A 22,861-nucleotide genomic window follows, 5' to 3' on the forward strand; every position below is an offset into this window, starting at 1 on the left:
AAGTCTGGGCATTATCTTATAGGCATAGAGAGTTGTAAGAAAATATAAAATAGGGAAGCAATGGTTAATTTTGCATTTTAGAAAAATTACTCTACCAGCAGTATGGCTAATGAATTTTGAGGTAACCAAACCTGAGGAAGAGAGACAAGTTAAAAGATTATTAATAATCACAAACATTTATTGAGCCCTATTATGCAATCAGAAGGCTAAGAGCTTTATATGTATTATCTCAATTATGACAACCCCATATATACATTATCCTCTATCTTATCAATAATGAAATGGAGACTTGAAGACATTAAATAATTTGCCCAAATCACTTAGCAACTGGTTAGGTAAAATATACTAAGAGTCTGATGGTTTGAATGGAAATGGAAGCTTTTTTATTATCTCCTGTCATATTCAGGAGATAATTTTAAAAGGTAGAACCAAGAGGGCCTGAAGACTGCAGGAATGAGAGAAACAGAGGTGTTTAATAATGATACAAGCAATAATATCCATATGTGTTATACAATATCTATAAAATTATACAAGGGATATTAGAGTTTCCTCAATAAACTAAACATAGAACTACCATATGACATAGCAATTCCACTTCTAGGAATACACTCAAAGGAATTAAAAGCAGGTGTTCAAATACTTACATATGAATGTTTATAGCAGCTCTATTCATAACACCCAAAAGATGGAAACAACCCAAACATCCATCAACAGATGAATGGATAAACAAAATGTGGTATATTCATGCAATGAAATATTATTCAGTTGTAAAAAGGAATAAAGTATTAATACTTGATACAACATGGATGAACCTTGAAAATGTAGTATGTTAAGTGAAAGATGCCAAAGGCCACATATTAGATAATTCTATTTATGTAAAGTATCCAGAATAGGCAAATCTACAGAGACAGAAAGCAGATTAGTGGTTGCCAGGGGCTGCAGGTAGGAGAGAAATAGGAGTGACTGCTAAGTGGGTTTCCTTTTGGGGTGATGAAAGTATTCTGGAACTAGTGAGTGATGAGGTTACATAACACTGTAAATGTACTTAATGCCACTGAATGATACACTAAAAATGGTTACATTGGTAAATTTTATATTATGTGTATTTACCACAATTTTTAAAAGGTGAATATTGGCCTACTGATAGAGTACTTCCATGGATGGAGATATTTAAAGAGTAGGACTGATAGGGGTGAGGGACAAAGATTAGTCTGTCATTAAAAAGTAATAATCATGGCTTTTATGAAACATTTGTATTATAAAAGGGATACTGACCTTAAAATAAAGCAGTACTATGGAAAGGATTTCCATTCACTGTAAAAATCATCATCATTCATGGTCTTGATAATATAAGGGCAACACAGGACAACAATGGCTTTATCTGTTAGAAACAGATAAAGAGGTAGTCTCTGCCCTTACCAGTGTTTTTTTGTTTGTTCATTCTATCACCCAGGCTAGAGTGCATGGTGCAATCTTGGCTCACTGCAACTTTCGTCTCCCAGGTTCAAGCAATTCTCATGCCTCAGCCTTCCAAGTAGCTGGGATTACAGGTGTGTGGTAACACACCTGGCTAACTTTTGTATTTTTTAGTAAAGATGGGGTTTCAGCATGTTGGCCAGGCTGGCCTCAAACTCTTGACTTCAGGTAATCCACCCCGCCACAGCCTCCCTAAATGTTGGGATTACAGGCATGAGCAACCGCGCCCGCCCAAGTTTTAAAATAGAGTAAGTAGAACTCACAAAGAGCCCTACATTATAACACGTAATAACATATAAACTTAAGAGTAATGCAGTCAACATATGCAATGAATTCAGAGGAGAAAGTAGTCAAGGCAGGTTCCTTTGAAATATATGAACCAAAACATTACGGCACATTCTAGTGCAGTAGTTTAAAGTATAGGTTTTCCTGCAATATTGAACTTTGGCTCCACCACATACTACCTGCCTGAACCTGTGCAAGTTACTTTTCCTCAATGTCCTTACCTGAAACATGAGAATAATAATAGAACCCATCCCAAAATTGTTGTAAGGATTAAATGAGATATACATACACATATTTATTCATTTATTTTAAATGCTTAGAATAGTGCCTGAAGCATAGAAAGTGCTCAGTAAATATCAGCTGCTATCATCATCATCATCATCATCATCATCATCATCATCATCATCATCATCATCCCAGGCATTGAAGAAGGAGTAAATTGCATTTAGGAATAAAATTTGGTGTTCCAGCCCAGCAATGTTCAAACTCTTTGGGGAATGCAAATAAAATCAAAATTGAAAGCCCAATAGTTACACTGAGTTGAAGTAAAACTACTCTAGCTGAAGTAATTCCTGTATGGTGAGTCACATTGTCTGAGAATTCTGTCCTGGACTTACTCAAGGAGTCATTCATTATTCAGCATTTCGTGAACATCTACCATGTGCTAGTTTTTATGCTAGGCTGAGTGTTTAGAGAGGAAAGATATAGGTCCTGTTCTCCAAGAAAGTTACATTCTAGTTGAGATAGGCAAAAACTCCCCCAATTTTAAACATTTTTATTGAGATATAATTCACAATCCCACTCATTTAACATATAAAATTCAATGGTTTTTAGTGTATTCACAGTTATGCAACCATCATCACAATCAGTTTTAGAGCATTTTCACCATTCCCGAAAGAAACCATGTGCCCATTAGCAGTCACTCCTCACTTTCCATTAACTCTCTCCCCACCAGCTCTAAGCAACCCCTAATCTACTTTGTGTCTCTATAGATTTGCCTATTCTGAACATTTAATATAAACAGAATCATAAATATATGGTAAAAATCCAACAACTTTAAGACCACTCCACGATAATTATATTTATTTAAGTAATATCAGGACTTAGAAAAGAGAAATGATGCCCTGATTCTTGTTCCACATGTTTTGATTCCATGTGTGCACCTCTGACAGCTATCAACTGTTTCAGGTTATCCCTCCTCATGTTTTCTCTTCTTCCTTCCCCCAAAACCTTGGGTGTACAGAGAGGTACTCAGGACTGAAGTTAAGAGGAGAGAAAACAATACTGGAGGCTATCAGTTATTCATTCCATACCATATGCCAGGCACTATGATGTACTTTATATATGTGCTCTCCTTTAATTGTCACAATAACTCTGGGAGACAAAAACTACTAGTATCTTCATTTTACAAAGGAGGAAGCTGAGATTTAGAAAGGTTAACTAGCTCGCCCAAAGGCACACAGCCAGTGATGTCAGAGATGGGATCTGAACCCTGTTCAGTCTGACTACAAAGCCGTAAGACCCTAAGCCCCTAAACTGTTAAGCTCTTTCACTCAGTAGTGGTTTTCTCCTGACCCAGTCAAAGTGGCTTATTCTTCAAGGAACTCCTTAATGTATAATATAAATGGATTCTTAATATTGCTGATAAACTTTCATATTTATTCTCTATTTTACAGACTTACATTAAAAACTCAGGTTTCAAGAGAAAATAAAAGTTGGCCAGCAGACTGATATAATAGAAAGAATTTATCAGCACAGGAGGGGACAGAAAGATGGTGACTCTGTGTCTCCAGATCTATCCATGTTTCTCACATTTGTTTGCCCTCCCTTTTCCCACTCTACAGCATGAATGTACTTTATAACCTCAGACATGCTTTTAAATCTTTGTGAGTCCATTTTTATATATAGAACAAGAAAATAAACACCACATAAAACTATTAACGATGGTTTTAAGTATATGTGTAATGTGGAACTGACCACTCCTTGTCAGTACCAGAGTTTCCAGGAGATAAACAGGCATGTCTGCTTGTCCTTTAAAAAGTTTTTCAGGGCTGGGTATGGTGGTCCCCGCCTGTAATCCCAGCACTTTGGGAGTCCACATGGGAGAATCACTTGAGCTCAAGAGTTGGAGACCAGCCTGGATAGCATGGCAAAACCCTGTCTCTACAAAAAATACAAAAATTGGCCGGGCATGGTGGCATGCACCTGTAGTCCCAGGTATTTGGGAGGCTGAGGTGGGAGGATGACTTGAGCCCAGGATGCATAGCTTGCAGTGAGCCAAAGTCATGCCACTACAATCCAGCCTGGGCAACAGAGCCAGATCCTACGTCAAAAAAAAAGTTGGTCACTTCCTAATAGAAGGCATTTTATTTGGGTGGTTTTCTGCAGTCAGAGCAAGCAGAAGCAAAGGAACTGGGACATAAAAAACAGAATTTCAGTGAAAGATGTCTGTAGTGCATGTAGCCAGGTAAGTCAAGACATCAGAAGTGCCTATTATAAAGCAGGAACAAAGAGAAAGTGGCTGATTAGGCCTAAGGGCCTAATGAAACTTTGTCTTCCACCTCTCTCACTCTTTATCATAAAGAAAGAACACAGCAAAGGCCTCCATCACAGTATCTCTCAGCAGTGTACACCCTGCATGCACACACACGTGCATGCATGCTCACCTCCGTCCCTCACTTCACTTGAACTTAATCTATGTTTAGGGAGCTCCTACTTGAATTCCCATTTTAAACTTGTCTATCCTGAAGTTGAGGCCAAGAATCTGAAAATCTGTGGTATAGGTGAATGTTAGACACACCAGGGTACAATTTTAGATCCCATTTATAAGCTGCAAGGTCATAAGCAAGTTATTTAATCTCCTAGATCCTCAGAATGCTTGCCCATAAAATTACTGAGATGATGTAAATAAAATCCCTAGTGAGTACTGCTCTCTTTAGATGTCCCAATTGATTTGTAACTATATTTCAGAATATACAAGATTTAGCCACAATAGCTAGCTCAATATTTTAAAATTAAAGATAAAATGTTATGGAAGCCCTGTCTAAATTACCAAAGAGATGAATAACTACTTTTTTTTTTTTTTTGAGATACTTTCACTCTTGTCTGGGCTGGAGAAGAGCAATGGCGTGATCTCGGCTCACTACAACCTCTACCTTCTGGATTCCAGTAATTCTCCCACCTCAGCCTTTCGAGTAGCTGGGATTACAGGTGCCCACCACCATGCCTGGCTAATTTTTATATTTTTAGTAGAGATGGGGTTTTACTGTATTGGCCAGGCTGGTCTCAAACTGCTGACCTCAGGTGATCCGCCCGCCTCACCCTCCCAAAGTGCTGGGATTATAGGCGTGAGCCACTGTGCCTGGGCGAATAACTGCAATTTTCTTCTGACAATGTGCATGTTTAAATTAAGTCTTATAGTACTTATTTCCAAAGAAAGTGCTGTATTTTAATCACTCTATGTCCCATGTTTTGAATTTTTTTAAAAGACTACTATGAATCCTTACCATGACAACTAAATTCTTTCCATTACTAAAGCCTGCAAATACCCAATCTGAGAAAATGGGCAATTCAAGACAACCTAACACAACCAGCTTGGGGACCCTGCACAAAGAGCACTGTAACTATGGAAACACCTGTTAATGAAGTTACACTATAAATCACAGAACCTGTTCCATTATTCAAGTACCAAGCATTTGAGATCAATTTATAGCAACTGTAAGCTATTAATAATGGTATTCTATTTAATTTGTCAAACACAATTTTCTCTCTCAATGAAATCTTTAGGAAATACTTAAGTATTTTTCTTCAGGAGAAGAAAATGTTAAATCCACCTAAGTGTTACAGTATACCTGACTGGTGGTTTTTAACCTGTTTGTGAAACAAGCATTATGAAATCAAGCTTATTTAGCACTTGGCATATGTTTATGATATTATTTACATTTTACATATATAGCCTGATATATATAGATATATATGCACACACACACGCACATGCACACACACACACATATATATCCTGTTTCTTCAACCAGGTTAATAAATTCCTTAAGAACATAAAACATAACTTATAAGTCTCCTTATCACCAGTGCTTAGTGGAATGCCCATGATCCAGTCCTTAATGAATGCTTTCCTAACTAATTTTAGCTTCTCTTTTCTAAGCACAAGAGACTTTGGAAGAAGATAAATCACAGCACATTAATGTGAACAAGATTTTGTGATGGGAAAAATGGGAATCAGTAACTGAATGAATCTTATAGTGCTAAGTTCCAGAAGGAGGTATATAAGAAATACCCTTATATATATGGTGTCTGGTTCATTAAATACTCATCTTTTTTCCACAAACTTTTTTTTATTGAGAAAAGAAACTCTAGGCCAGTGCTAACTCTTATCTTAATTTTCTTCCATCCATGGGAATTTTTTTTTTAACTGACAGGATTTGCTTTTTCTCTAGAATTGTGTGCTGCCTGAGCCTCTACTCTCCTCTCTCCCTGCTTCCCCTCAGTCAAGAGAGGAAGGAAAAATACATAGTGCCTATGTATGAATTTAGGATAGAGGTGAGGCCTGACATCCTACATGAAATATAAACAGAGCACCTCACTGTATGACGACATGGGATGCAAGAGAAGCAGACTTTGAAGTATTTAAGTTTAATGCTCCCGATTTTTAATTTAAAAAGCAAGGGGAATAACTGCTTCATATTTTTCTCTCATAAAACAGTAACGTGTAGGTTTCTTTCTTTTGGTCGTCACTCTCTTTTGGGAATCTAGTCCCTCTGTTTTGGGAATCTAGTCCCTTGATTGAAAGGGTCTCTGCCTCTCCTGTATGTCTAGTCCTTCAGATTCCACTTCCACAATGTTCTACCAGTCAGCCTCCATCCTTTCTGTTCTAGCTCAGCTCAAAGGTCTTCATTAATTCTCAGCCAAGCTACCATATTCACCTCCAAATTGGTCTCACAGCTCCCAGTCTTCCCCTATAACTCATTCTATTTGGTGCTGCCAAATTAACGTTGCTAAGATACAGCTGTGATTCACGAAGTCACAAATATTTCTTAAGCACACACTCTCTATGCCAGACACTGTGCTAGACTCTAAAGAGTCAGAGAAAAAGACACACAGTTGTTGTTGTCATTTTATCTCATGAAGCTTACATTCTAATGATATACTCTGTGCAAAATTCATCAACCCACTGCCAATGGAATTAAGTGTAATTTCCTCACTGTGTTCATCATAGGATATGAGCTAAGTGATCCTTTCCAGATTTATCTCCTACTGCACCCTTGCCCTCTGTTCTAGTGAAATGGGTTTTGCTCATCTAGAATTTTGCTACAACCATGCTATTTTTTTCTGACTTCTGCACCCAGAATCCTCTCCCACCTCTACCCACATCACCTTCTAGAAACTTAATCTAAATTTCAAGGCCTGTCTAAAGTGAAATGTCCTTCATAAAGTCTTTCGCTGACCCCACATCCTAATGTTTCTCTCCCTATACTGTCCTCGGAAACTTTTATCTTACTTTGCATTATAGTAATTGTATATTTGTTCTATCCTCTGCCTTTTTTTTTTTTTTTTTTTTTTTGAGATGGAGTCTCACTCTGTCGCCAGGCTGGAGTGCAGTGGCACAATCTCGGCTCACCACAACCTCTGCCTCCCGGGTTCAAGTGATTCTCCTGCCTCAGCTTCCCGAGTAGCTAGGACTATAGGCGCGCACCACCACACCCAGCTAATTTTTGTATTTTTAGTAGAGACGGGGTTTCACCATGTTGGTCAGGATGGTCTCGATCTCTTAACCTCGTGATCCACCCACCTCAACCTCCCAAAGCGCTGGTATTATGGGCGTGAGCCACCGCACCCAGCCATTACTCCCTTTTTATTACTTATAAAAATTAGCACAGAAACTTGTATACATTAGATAGGGAGTATTTTTAGGAATGTACATATTTTCTAAACTCTCTTCCATTCCTTCCTTCAGGACAAAAAAAAAACAACTTGATCTTATCAGGGGTAGGGAAAGGGAAGGGCATGAAGCAACAAGGAAGACTGGCTGATGAGCACTTCTCCTGAAGAGTTATTTAATCTGAAACTTGAACTTGAATGAGGCTAGTCAGGTGAAGAAGGGTAGAAATGACTACATCCATTAGATTATGCAAAAGCATGGATGAGAGACAATACTTGGTTGACAAAACACTGCAACCATGCTATCTTTTTTTTTTTTTTTTGAGACGGAGTCTCGCTCTGTCGCCCAGGCTGGAGTGCAGTGGCGCCGTCTCAGCTCACTGCAAGCTCCATCTCCCGGGTTCACGCCATTCTCCTGCCTCAGCCTCCAGAGTAGCTGGGACTACAGGTGCCCTCCACCATGCCCGGCTAATTTTTTGTATTTTTAGTAGAGACGGGGTTTCACCATGTTAGCCAGGATGGTCTCGATCTCCTAATGTTGTGATCCGCCTGTCTCGGCCTCCCAAAGTGCTGGGATTACAGGCGTGATCCACCACGCCCGGCCCCTAATATCTTAATGGAGCAATACAACCCAGCCCCACTGAAAAAAAAAATAATAAAAGTCTTCACCATTATATATCATAATACTTGCATTTTTGGGGTGAATGAATCAGCTTGCAAGAACCCTCTTTCTCAAAGACCATACCTCCACATTGCATTCCATATCTCCAGAAACATATGGACTCTGGCATATGTGCTTACCATGAACCCAGGATACAAACTGACTCAAGCCAGGCCAGTCAGATTTCTTCTCCTGAGAGTTTGGAATTGAAATCATGACAACAAATCAAGGCAGTGTCTTCATGAGTTACTCAGGTACTGCAGCTTGGTGATTTTTCTACCAAGTAGACTGTGGAACAAAGAAATCTTGTCTGTATATAGATAAGAGGCAGATATGCAAACAAAAGCAGAGGGAGAGGGAGCATGGGCACCTCCTAGGTCCGGGCTGGCTTTCCATTTGTCCCCTAATTCCAGTCTCTCTCTGAGGCCCAGCTGCTCCCATTCTTAGGTCTGGCAACCTCTACATCCTTATAATAAACCCCTCTTTCTGCTAAGGCTAGCTCGAGTTCTTCTCAGACACCTACAACCCATTAGTCCTAACTAGGACATAAACGTTTTATTGAGCCACCAAACTCCCACTAAACAGTGTGTTGGAATTCCTCTAGTATTTATCAAGCTCCTACCATGCTCAAGTTATTCATCACCAGTGTACAGAAATCTAAGAGTTTTATTTTCCATTTTATTTAACATTTTCTTTTGATTGTAGCACAAATTATTTTAGGTCACACACTTAAAAGTTTTGTGTCATAATGTAAACCCAAAGCCTATGATTCCTGTTTTATTTTGCAGCTAATATTCACTCTGAGCTACTGATATATGAATATCAATATTCTGAAAGACACTTTGGGAGATAAAGGGGCAATTAGTTCAAAAGCCATTTTTCATCTCTTTAATCAGACCAAGTTCATCCACAAATTTCAATTGTGCTGATAGATAGTTTTAGGAAAATTCATTGAGGGACACATTGAAATGGCCTCTCTAGAAAGCTTTGACAAAATTATTATATCCATGGATATAACATGACCATGATCCAGTGATTCACGATGCATTACTCACTGGACCCCTAGGGAGCCAGCCGACATAGAGTCCCACCCAACAGGATTAATATAATCTAGCAGCAGAGTATTTCTCAAAATTACCCAAGCATAAGACTCATCTAGAGCATTTGAAAACATACAGATTCCACGAGTCCATCTGAGACCTGATCAGAATCTCTATGAGACAGGACTTGGACTCCATTCATCTAACAAGCACCTCCAGGGGATTCACAATTTCTTTCTTTTTTTTTTTTTTGAGTCAGGGTCTTGCTCTGTTGCCCAGGCTGCAGTGCAGTGGTACAACTGTGGTTCACTGCACCCTCAATCTCCTGGGCTCAAGAGAGCCTCCTGCCTCAGTTTCCCGAGTAGCTGGGACCACAGACATGCACCACGACACTTGGCTAATTTTTAAAAATTTTTTGTAGAGTTAGAGTCTCACTATGTTACCCAGGGTGGTCTCAAACTCCTGGGTTACAGCAATCCTCCCACCTTGGCCTCCCAAAGTAATGGGATTACAGGTGTGAGCCAACACGCCTGGCTTGAATTCACAGTTTCTGTTTAGCATGACTTTAAAAATGAACCCTGAGCTTCATGCCCAAAAGAGAGCCCCTGTCAGATGTTGCTGAAGGAGCTCTGATTCACCTGTGCTGCTTCTTCTTTCTTGCATTTTCTTACCTTCATTTAATGTTCTGGCTTCTCCTCAAATGTACCCCCTGCAGCAGGATTCTGTAGCTTTTCCAGAGTTCAGTTACTTTATTCCCTCCTGGCATGGCCAACTGGAAACCCACTAAGATAAAGGAACTGCTCCTATACCTTCTCCCCATTCTTGCCCTAGTCCTTCCAACTGTATGCTGCACTCAAAGGCATGCCTGACTGGATATGGCCTGGCCTTGAAAGCCCACTTCCATCCTTAACAGACTCCAGGAAGGCTGACCTACTCTTACTACATAAGAGTAAACTGGCCGGGTGCGGCGGCTCACGCCTATAATCCCAATACTTTGGGAGGCTGAGGTGGGTGGATCACTTGAGGTCGGGAGATTGAGACCAGCTTGACCAACATGGAGAAACCCCATCTCTCCTAAAAATACAAAATTAGCTGGGCGTGGTGGTGCATGCCTGTAATCCAAGATATTCGGGAGGCTGAGGCAGGAGAATCGCTTGAACCCAGGAGGCAGAGGTTGTGGTGAGCCAATATCACGCCATTGCACTCCAGCCTAAGCAACATGAGAGAAACTCCATCTCAAAAAAAAAAAAAAAAAAAAAAAGAGTAAATTAAATTATGTCCATCATTCCAACTCAGGGTGATCCATTTAATCACAAATGCCACACTTATGCTATATAAACACTAAAGCAATCGTAGTAGCATAAGCCCACTCATTTAACAACCTAAAACAAATGCTACAGTGTATTACTGAAGGATCAATCTAGTACGGTGTATCTTTTTTTTTTTTTTTTTTAGACAGAGTCTTGCTCTGTTGCCCAGGCTGGAGTACAATGGTGTGATCTTGGTTCACTGCAACCTCCGCCTCCTGGGTTCAAGTAATTCTCCTACCTCAGCCTCCTGGGTAGCTGGAACTATAGGCATGAGCCACCACACTCAGCTAATTTTTGTATTTTTAATAGAGACGAGGTTTCACCGTGTTGGCCAGGCTGGTCTTTTACTCCTGACCTCAAGCGATCCACCCGCCTCAGCTTCCCAAAGTGCTGGGATTACAGCACTTTGTAAGTGAGGTCACCACACCCAGCCTAGTAGTGTGTATCTTTAAAATAAATTTTGTAGAAGGGAATTTGCAGGAGGGCAGTCCTTGACCCAGCCCATTTCACAACCACAAATGTGTTCTTAAGGTCAATGTGCAGTCACCACTCTGTATTCCAGCTGTCACACAGGGGTACTACTCACTGAAAAATGTCAGGAGCAAGAAAGGAGACAGTGATAAGCAGGGATGATGGTGAGTGACCCTTGCCATATCTCACCCTTATTGATGCTTCATACAAAAAATGTGGGGTCTGCTTTGGAAAGTACAAAAAGCATGATAATGAATCAACAAACACAAGTAGAGAATGGATGTCTCGAAGAGTTTATTCATAGATTTACTGATAACAGTTAAATAATGTAATGATGCAAAATTATAATGCTATCATTTTAGTATGGAACATGCAGGATTTTTTTCCTTCACAAAAGCTAGTGAGAGAACAAGAAGTCCAACAAAACCACTTTGTTCTCTGAAATAAAGAATACATCTGATGGTTAAATCCACTTTGCCAGAGTTGATGAGTGAGAGTAAAGTAAACCTAAGGGGAGAAAAAAACAGCTACCCTCACCTGTAGGAACAGCAAGCTTTGTAGAAAAATTCTGAAGTGCCTTTAGCAAAGCCTCACTTTGCCTCTGCAAAACTGTGCTCTTGGGAGACTTCAGACAAGCAGTCTGGGCCTTAGGGCTTATCTGGGTCAGACCTGAACCCTTAGAATGACATGGCTATGAAAGTGTCCAGGTCAACCAGACAAGAAGAGGGGCTCCTGTACTAACCTTAAAAGAAGTAGGAGGTGCTACCAGAGCAGACTATAGGGAAGCTCTGAAGAAAGCAGTGTACCTCGGGGAGGGCTCTGCCTTTAACACTGTATATAGAATAATATGTTACAGTGTATAAACACAAATATATACACACACAGAACCGTCTATCTGTGTCTTGGAGATTCAGACTAGTAATTTGTCTAATGTGTGCAAACTCCTTCCGTGGGCAGAAGGACTGCTACTGTGTGCCCAGATGGGTACATAGGACAAATTATGTTTACTCAACTTCAGAGAAACCATGCCAAAATGTTCTTCCCAAACAATTGATTTCAACTTGTTCTTGTTTTCCTCCAATAGCAGCCTGACAAACTGTTTTATACATGCATTTGACTTTTCAAAAATTTGCATGCAATCATGGCAAACTCAGCAAGTCTTTGTGCTCCAGGAGCTGCAGAATGGCCTTTGAATGACATGTTTACTGCATCCTAATGTAAAATGTCATCTTCTTAAAGTCTGGGAGAAAGGACCTGCAGCAGCATGAACCTGGCCTGACCCTGTGTTATGTGCATCAGCAAGAGCCAAATGCCTAAAGCAGCCAGAAAGTAATGCCATGCTCCCAAAAGTTCAGAGTGACAAAACAAAAAAAAAAAAACTAAACAACAACAACAAAAAACTAAATAAAAAGTCCAAGCTTCAATGATTATGTTACTCTCTGTCACCTGACTCTTCAATGAACAGGAAGCATACTCTCTACTAAAAGGGATACAAGGCCGGGTGCAGTGGCTCACGCCTGTAATCCTAGCACTTTGGGAGGCCAAGGCGGGCAGATCACGAGGTCAAGAGATCGAGACCATCCTAACCAACATGGTGAAACCCTATCTCTACTAAAAATACAAATATTAGCTGGGTGTGGTGGTGCATGCCTGTAGTCCCAGCTACTTGGGAGGCTGAGGCAGGAGAATCACTTGAACTCAGGAGGCAGAGGTTGCAGTGAGCCGAGATCATGCCACTGCACTCCAGCCTGGCGACACAGCAAGACTCTGTCTCAAAAAAAAAAAAAAAAGAGAGAGAGAGACATAAGCAGAAAAGCAATCTATGACTTAGTTTCTGTCAGAGCCTTGAGTCTTTCTTTATCCACAGAGTTAGAAAACTATGAACCCAAACTGCAAATGTACCATTTCCTCACCAATGGTCATTTGTCACTTCTGATGCCTCTTGAAGAGACCCTGTCACAGTTGTGACTTAAAGAAGACTCTACGTTTTACTGCCTCCATTTTTTACATTCTCTTAATTCCTTTAAACTTCATATATTAGAATAATTAGACAAAGTCACCTTTTTCCAACATCTACACACTTCATGCAAAGCAAATTCTCATTTAAAAATTATCTTTTGAGCTTTTAAAATAGACTATTTGCTACTTATATAAAGATAATTGATTTGCAAATGAAGAGTAGCAAACTGCTCCCCACCTCCTGGACATGTTTATAAAGTTGAGCAGGACAGCAGTCATATATCAAAAACACGACAACATTATCTTTCAGTTTCCTAGGTTAAGGGCAACCTCATCAGAAACTGTTCAGGCTGGGTGTTACATGGTTTCTGCATGGAAGCCAATCACCTTCACATATAAACACCTCCCTCACATCAATATGTTGTAGTTCTAGTAAGTTCACAGTCATTTTAATAATCAAGAGAGGTCGGGAAATTAGTATGCACATGACCAATAAAATAAATAGCCACAGTTCCCTCTACCAATGCTCCTCAAACTTTAACATGCATGCAAACCACCTGAGGATCTTGTTAAAATACAGATTCTGATTCAGTAGGTCTAGAGTGGGGCCTGAGATTATGAAATCCTAACAAACTCCCAGGTAATGCTGCTGCTGCTTCTGCTGATCCATGGACCACATTTTCAACAGTAAGACAATCTACCATGACCTCTCTTGGAGGTGGTAATGTCCAAGTAATCTCTTTGACACACATGAATTCCCATCATATGATTATGAAAAAGGAGACTGTTAAAACTGAAAAAAAAATGTGGAAACTGCAATCATGGGTTCTGGAGAATGGAAGGAAGAAGTGAATTTGGGATTCTTGGCCCCTATTTTGATTCATATCATTATTCTATTATCTGTTCCTCAAAATTTGCTTGGCATCCTGACTCCCTCAAGAGAGATGGAGATTGTTTGTTGCCAAGGGCCACCAGTATCCAAGATACAAAAAGATACATCTTTTATCCTCTACTTGCAAGTACCATAAAGAGGCCAGCTCTGGGGTACTTTTAGGCTTGCTATGGAGGCAGCCACAACACTATCTCTGGCACTAGAAATACATCTGAACAATCTGGAATTAATTATAGAGTTGCAAAGAATTCCACAACATCTAAAAAGATAAGCTTGTATGAGTTCAACCGAACTATTCTGATTAAGCAATTTTTGCTAGCTTTCCTTCTTTCTGATTTAACCCAGAGCATTTAACAAGCACTCTGAAAGCCCCCCTACACTCTGAGTCTAGCCACACAAAAGCTGAAATCCAGTCATCCTGACTGTATCTAATAGCTTCTTCTTCTCTTTTTTTTTTTTTTTTTTTTTAAGATGGAGTTTCGGTCTTGTCTTGCCCAGGCTGGAGTGTGGTGGCATGATCTCGACTCACTGCAGCTTCCACCTCCCGGGTTCAAGTGATTCTCCTGTCTCAGCCTCTCAAGTAGCTGGGACTACAGGCATGTGCCACCACACCCGGCTAAATTTTTTTTTTTTTTAAGTAGAGAGGGGGTTTCACCATGTTGTCCAGGCTGGTCTTGAGCTCCTGACCTCAGGTGATCCACCCGCCTTGGCCTCCCGAAGTGCTGGGATTACAGGCATGAGCCATCGTGCCAGGCCAACTAATAGCTTCTTAATCACAGTTTTGCATCCCAACTCTCCACATTGTCACCTAGCAGCAAATGGAATCCACAGCACTATAAATAATTAGTGTATGTCAAACTGCTCATAAATGCATTAAGATTACTAATAAAGAAGCACATACCCTATGAATACAGTATACTTCCTCCTAGTACAATATTTAAAAATACAAGCTGTTGACAAGCTGCTCCTCTGAACTAAAAACCACTTCTACATTATTAATATTAGTGACCTCACATGGGACCCAAGCTCTCTTGTAACAACAGAAAGTGACAACCATCAATGAGACACAGTGCAAGGAGGTGCTATCTCCCAAGGCAGATGTGAACCACAGATAGCTTGACTTCTGAGACTAAGATTCTTTTTCTTTACCTCCCAAAGAAGTTGCTGTATGGAAAGAAACCCGGTTTTTCTGAATTCTTTTTATTCATTAGACTAAATGGCCTAAACAAGGGAACTAGTTCCTGCAGCTAGAAATAAACTAGTCTTGGGGCCAGGCACAGTGGCTCACGCCTGTAATCCCAGCACTTTGGGAGGCCGAGGCAGGTGGATCACGAGGTCAAGAGATCGAGACCATCCTGGCCAACATGGTAAAACCCTGTCCCTACTAAAAATACAAAAATTAGCCGGGTGTGATGGTGCACGCCTGTAGTCCCAGCTACTCGGGAGGCTGACGCAGGAGAATCCCTTGAACTCAGGAGGCGGAGGTTGCAGTGAGCCGAGATCGCGCCACTGCACTCCAGCCTGGGCAACCAAGTGATACTCCATCTCAAAAAAAAAAACAACAAACAAACAGAAAAGAAAAAAGAAAAGAAGGAAATAAACTAGTCTTTCCCACTCTGTGATGCCAGGGTGGAGAAGTCAGCTTTGTGGCCTGGCAGCTATTCACATGATTCTGAGGGGCTTTCCCCCAGAAAGAATATAAAGCAAGCTTGTGGATAGCAGGCAGGGTATGAAATCAAACCAAATCAAGTACAAATGTCACAAGATACACATCTTTCCCAAAATGTAGGCATAGTAGAGTATCTTAAACACTGTAAAACAATACTAACTCCATAGCCTCATTAACTAACCTACTTACTATGTATTTCTTGTTGCTAATTCCCTTGGGTGCCTCTGGATTCCAGGCCTCTTACAGATGATTCTGAAACTCCTATGAAGGTGAAAATAGACTTATCATGAAAGCTGGTAAGCCTGCTTCTTTTGGATCTTTTCTATAAATGACAATGAATGTACTTGTTCCCAAGGTGAGGATGAACAAACATAAGATGATGAGTACTGTTGTTACTTCACAAGTAGATACATTCCAGGTCCTAGGCAACTTTTACTATATTTTGCAGATTACTCTTAGTTCTTTCTAAATCTCTAGGGATGGAGCCTGTTACTAAAGGAAAGGTGGTTATGACATTGTTTCCTCTGAGAATGATGCCTGAACCAACTCTATCAGAAACACCTGGGTGCTTTTCAAAAACACAGATTCCTGGGCCCAACTTTAAGACAGTTTAAATCACAGATTTGGAGGTGTTCCAGAAATCTATTTTAAACCGCTACCAAAGTCTAGAAACTCTGGCTTAAGGTATTGCAGGGTTGAAAAGCTTTGGACTATTGACTAGTTGAAAGCCATGTAATTTATTCTTATGGTGACTGCCGTATCACACTCAATGGCAGAAGCAGTCCACTTGGCACCATTATCCATTCTTTGCATACCTTTAACCTCTTGGACATATCCACTCCCCTGGACCACAAGGTCTAAATACAAACCAGATGCAGTTGATCATGCACTGGCATGTAGAACCTTCAGAGAATACTCTGATTAGAGAATGTGAGGAATGTGTAGTTCAATGCAAGAAACAAAGATGAATCAGCTGAAAGGTAAGAAGTAAGCCTGGATGCTACAGTGTGAAAAATATAGTCAAATCCAACAAGCATCAGTTGAGTTCCACTCAAGGAAAGATTGAGTTCTGAGAAGGAAGGAGTTGTCAGGAATATTATCACATAAAGTTAAGTCAAAAGAGGACAGAAGGTTTTGGCATGAAGGAGGTCCTCAATCTAAGAATGTACTTCTGGTAAACGGATCTGACAAATCAATGGAAATAAAAGCTAATTGAAACAGGGCTGTGGAGAAATCAGGGTATGGAAATGAAGATCTCACAAACAGACTACTCTTCCATAGGAAAAGGAAAGAAAGAAATTGTCCTAGCTTGGAATTAAATATAGTGTTTGTTTGAAGATGGGAGGCTTTTCAGGAGTTCCCAAGCAGACTTTCATTCTGCCTGCAGAACAAAAGGGTAAGGGCTCAAAAGCTACCATGTAAGAGTTCAAAAAGCCTCCCAGTCCACAGCCTACCCAAACCACTAACCAAATGGATGGTCAGAGTTGGACCTAAGGTCTCACTGACTCACTTGGGAATCACTTAGACAAGCAACAGTATAACAAAACTGGCTGGACTCCCAGCTGTTCACTGTGTGTGCCTGAATGAGTAAACAAATCAGAAAGGCTCACTAGTCACAGCCTTCTGCTCTGAGGCTTGGAGACCTAAAAGGAATGAAAAGGGGAAATTGATAAAAGGAGATGACAGCTTTGGAACAAAAGCCTTGCCTACACTCATAACCTTGGGTACTAGGAGAGGGAAAGGAAGGAATTCCAAAAGTCATGGTAGGGAGATTTTCCTCCTATTATTCAAAGAAAGGAGGACACACATGGTCAATTAGGAAGAAAAACCTCTTTGTGCCTGATACATTGGATGCATTGTCCTCATGCCATTTGCCCTAATGTAAGAATAGTCTTGGGAACACAGCCAGCATGAGTGTCCACTTGACTCATTAGCTGCAACAGTACCAGTCTCTGAGAACTTGTCAGGTCAGTATAGAAGGAGCTCTGTCAGAATCCAAAGTTTCTCCAGAAAGAAGGAAGAAGGAATTAAATATTAATAAAATGGTAAAAGATATAGAGGATTTTTACCTTCAAAGGAAAAAATCATTCTATTCAAATTAGGAAGGAGTTTTATGGAATAGTTTTGATTAGACATATACTGGTAAAATGTAGTCTTTGGCGTTTTACCTTCCCTCACAACATGTATTTTCAAAGTTTTCAATATTCAAGTTATCACTCTAACTGTTGAAATACAGATAGATCAAACAGCTTTATAGAGGGATAACTCATATGCCATACAATTCATCTATTTAAAGTGTATAATTCAGTGGGTTTTGGTACATACATAAGGTTGTGCGACCTTTGCCATAATCAACTTTAGAACATTTTCATCACCCCAAAAAGAAATCCTCCCATATCCATTAGCAAGCAATCATTCCCCATTTCCCAACTTCCTTCTTCCCCAGTCTTGGAAAACCATTAATCTACTTTCTGTCTCCATGGATTTGCCTATGCAGTTATGCAGCTCATACAACATTTTGGTCAACAATGGATCTCATATATGACAGTGGTCCCATAAGACTAAAAGGAAGCTGAAAATTCTTATTGCCTAGTGGTGTCATAGCCATCATAATGTAATGCGTTACTCATATGTTTGTGATGATGCTGGTGTAAACAAACCTACTGCAATGCCAGTCATATAAAAGCATAGCACATATAATTATGTACAGTAAATAACACTTGATAATAGCAATGACTATTACTGTTTTATGTATTATTATACTATACTTTTTATCATTAACCATGTGTGTTATTTCCCCTGAAGACCTTCCAGTGGGACAAGATATGGAGATTGAAGACAGTGATAATGATGATCCTGACCTTGTGTACGCCCAGGTTAATGTGTGTTTGCCTTAGTTTTTAACAAAGTTTAAAAAGTAAAAATAAATTTTAAATAGCGAAAAGCTTATAGAATATTTTTAAATGTTTTTGTACAACTGTGCAATGTGTTTATATTTTAAGCTAGGTGTTATTATAAAAGAATCAAAAAGTATAAATATTCTAAAAGTTCATGAAGTTACAGTAAGCTGAGCTTAATTTGTTATTGAAGAAAAAAATTTTTACATAAATTTAGTGTAGCTTAAGTGTACAGTGTTTATTAAATCCATAGTAGTGTACATCAATGTCTGAGACCTTCATATTCATTCACCACTCACTCACTGATTCATCCAGAGCAACTTCTAGTCCTGCAAGCTCTATTCATGGTAAGTGTCCCATATAGGTGTACCATTTTTAATGTTTCATACGTTAAAGATGTTTGATGTTTTACTGTACTTTTTTATGTTTAGATACCCAAATACTTACCATTGTGTCCCAACTGCCTATAGTATTCAGTACAGTAACATGCTATACAGGTTTGTAGCCTAAGAGCAATAGGCTATACCACATAACCTGGGTAGTATATATAGTAGGCTATGCCATCTAGGGTTGTGTACACTCTATGATGTTCACACAACAAAATCACCCTATTCTCAGAACATACCCTGTTGTTAAGTAATGACACATGACTGTAACTGGAATCATACAATATGTAGTCTTCTCGATTGGTTTCTTTCATTTAACATAACGTTTTCGAGGCTCATCCATGTAGAAAACATATATTTCTTTTTATTGGCAATATTGCATTATATGGATATACCACACTTTATTTATTCATTTCTCAGCTGACAGATATTTGGGTTACTTCCACTTTTTGGCTATCATGAATAATGCTGATAAAACTTTCATAGTAGTACCATACATGGTAGTAAAGAGCCTATATCACTCAAATTCTTTTCTTTTTTTTTTTTTTTTGAGACAGGGTCTCACCCAGGCTGGAGTGCAGTGGCACAGTTACAACTCACTGCAGCCTCGATGTCCCAGGCTCAAGTGATCTTCTCACCTCAGCCTCTTGAGTAGCTGGGACCACAAGCGCGCAACACCTCGCCCAGCTAATTTTTGTATTTTTTGTAGAAACAGGGTTTTGCCATGTTGCCTAGGCTGGTGTCTAACTCATGGGCTCAAGTAATACACCTGCCTCAGCCTCCCAAAGTGCTGAGATTACAAGTGTGAGCCACTGTGCCCAGCTCAAATTATTTCAAAGGTGTGGAAGGCAAAATTTCTTTAAAACACCTGTGCTATTCAAGGTGCCATCCTAGAAGCAGAGTGACCAAGGCGCTAACTTACTGATCTTGAACTTCCCAGACTGTGGGAAATACATTTCTGTTCTTCATTTTTTTTAGTGTGCTAGTTGTAGGAAACCATCAGTTAGATTTAAATGGTGGCAATAAAAATGATGCAGATTTGGTAACATGTTTTGTCATTTATACTGAGTTGAGAATTTAAAGGTTTAGAGTTCACTTTACTACTATTTATTTGTAGCTTGTCATTTTTCCTTTCATGCCTGTACTGCTTTTAGCTCTATTAGTTCTCAACTTAGTCTTTAAAAAAATGGACCTATTTTTTACCTTCATTAGCTTCGACAAGAAAACCCATAATTACTACTGCCCATTAGAACTAAATGGATGGTGAGTATTTACCACACAATTTCTTCTTATTAAGCTCACTACAGTTGCCCCTTGGGGACTGGTTCCAGGAACCCCCACAGATACCACAATCCAAATGTTCAAGTCCCTTATATAAAATAGAGTAGTATTTGCATATAAGCTAGCACGTCCTCCTATATACTTTATCTTTCTGGGTTACTTATAATACCTAATACAATGTAAATGTATGTAAATGGTTGTTTAACTGTATTGGTTTTTTATTATTTTTTCTTGTTTTTTTCCTAAACATTTTCCATCCACAGTTGGTTGAATCCATGGCTGTACGATGTTTTAAAAAGTACGGTTACATTCTGTTTCCTAAGAAAACACTTAACTGTATTTTTCTGTTTACAAATGGGTCTGATACCCAATAATTAAAATTATTTTAATAAGCCAAATTCTTCATGCATAGAAAGACGAACTAATACCACATATGTGCTCAAAAATAAATAAATAAATAAATGTGGGGTTTCCCTTTAAGGATAGAGTCTAAACTCCTAAAAGGCTAAAACTGACTCTCTAAGAACTGTTCCCTGCCATATCTCCAGCCTCATTGCCACTACTCTTTAAACCCACCCTGCATGCAGTAACAGAGGCCTGCTTGTGTTTGCCTGTACATATTGCACTCTTTGCTTCCCTGTCTTTGCTCCTGCTGCTTCGTCTAGAAGGCCTCCTACAACCATCCTTCACCTGCCTCATTCTGATTTTTAAAATAATTGGTTCAGTGGTCACCTCCTCTAGGAAGGCTTAATAAATGTGGTTCCAGCCTCTCACTGACCCCTCCCCTATCACCAGTAACATAATCACAAGTTAAGTATACTTCCCTCTGGACTCCCGTGGTGTGTAAGATCTCTGCACTTACTGACTCCAACTGTACTTATCCTTTGAGAAGTATGTCTTCACCTCTAAACTGTGAGGCAAAGTTCTGCCACCGATTCTACACAACTAGTACTGGGACTGAAAATACAAAGCTGCTTAATAAATGTTTTTAGTTTGCTGATGAAATACATTAGCCATTCTCAAACTTTTTGGTCTCAGGACCCCTTTACACTGCTAAAAATGACTGAGAACATCAATGAGCTTTGTTTATGTGGATGATATATGGTATATTTTTACCATTTTAGATGTTTAAACTGAGAAATTTTTAAAATATGCATCAATTCAAGAAAAGAAAAGTTAATAAATAACCCTTAGCATTTTTTGAAAATATCTGTGACTCCAAGGACTCTCTGAAAGGGTGTCAGGGACCACCCAGGGCCCCAGCACAATGGTATTGTGGGTTGTTTGTTTCACAAATTACAAAATGTATTTTCATTCACAAACGAAATATTTGAGAAGGTTGATAGGCAAATGAAAAGATATAAAGGAAGGGAAGGGGGATACAACCTTAACCATAGCTAGAGAAAATAGCTGAGGACAGAGAGGCAAAGCCAAGGAAGAGTGGTAATAAAGTAGTATAAACATCACCAGTCTTAGGAAAAATAATAAAGAAGCTAAAAGTAATTCTGTACCAACAAAACCAAAAACAGGAACGACACAGAAGGACAAAAGTCTGAACGAAACCTTAAGTAAAAATTGATCTTTTGGGTAGGAAATGTACCACTTTAACAATTCTATTCCACACAACTCCCATCTTTTTATCTTTCTCAGTCCTCATATGCTCTTTATTACACATCTCTTCTGCCTCTTTTGGATATCTATTCTCTCTTGATTTGTAGTTATCAGCCGAAAAATGCTGCTCAAAGGTTATATGATTAGAGGGGGGAAAGCAACAGCTCTCATGAAGCTGCATGATTGGAATTCAACTGATAAATTTTTTAACATTCCATTAAAATATAAAAAATGTTAATGAGATTTTAAAATTAGAAATGCTGAAGTTATTTTTACATGCTGAAAATACATTAAAAATTACTGTTCTTAAAATATGCTGCATAAAGGCCAGGATTGGAAAGTAATTTGGATTTGGCTATTGTGCTAGGGTGGTAGAATTACAGATGATTTAAATTACTTCTTTAATTTTGTTATATCATTGCTCCTACAGCAACAAAAGCCACAGAAATATGACAATTAATTCTCAATTTCCATATGCCTTTGGTCCTTTCTACAGACTTTTCAGGGATGTGCAATTGGTTTGGATTTTGTTAAGTAGTCATGTGCACTGAGGTCAAAAGCTTAAAGTCTAGACCAGGGGTAAACAAATTATAGACTAAACCAAACTGAGCCCTCATACAGTTTTTGTATAGCCCTCAAGCTAAGAATGGTTTCTTACATTTTTAAAAGGTATAAAAACAAAACAAAATTAAAAAAGAATAATAGACAAAAGAAATTGTAAATAGTCTGCTAAACTGAAAATACTTACTGTCTGGACTTTTATTTTTAACAGTCTCCCTTGCCAGGTGCAGTGGTGCACACCTGTAGTCACAGCTACTGGAGAGGCTGAGGTGGAAGGATCAGAGGATCACCTGAGCCCCGGAGTCCAAAGCCAGAGACTCTGAGATCTCTTTAAAAAAATAAAAATAAAAAAAATAAGGCCAGGCGCGGTGGCTCATGCCTGTAATCCCAGCACTTTGGGAGGCCAAGGCAGGCGGATCACCTGAGGTCTGGAGTTCGAGACCAGCCTGACCAACATAGAGAAACCC

General features: G+C 39.4%; 1 protein-coding gene across 11 annotated transcripts in view; it reads right to left on the bottom strand.

Annotated features, from left to right (window-relative positions):
• The window catches only part of FRMD5 (FERM domain containing 5), a 328,710-nt gene that overhangs the window by 214,848 nt on the left and 91,001 nt on the right, over window positions 1-22,861 (bottom strand). Inside the window, exon 2 of one of the 11 annotated variants that reach the window (NM_001286490.2) lies at window positions 15,848-15,919. The exons of the other annotated variants lie outside the window; for them this stretch is intronic. The gene's annotated coding sequence lies outside the window, so the exon portion shown is untranslated. The remainder of the gene's footprint in view (window positions 1-15,847; window positions 15,920-22,861) is intronic. 11 annotated transcript variants of the gene reach the window in all.

The sequence above is a fragment of the Homo sapiens genome, chromosome 15 (assembly GCF_000001405.40).
Source record: "Homo sapiens chromosome 15, GRCh38.p14 Primary Assembly".
In the NCBI taxonomy this organism is placed as follows: Eukaryota; Metazoa; Chordata; class Mammalia; order Primates; family Hominidae; genus Homo; species Homo sapiens.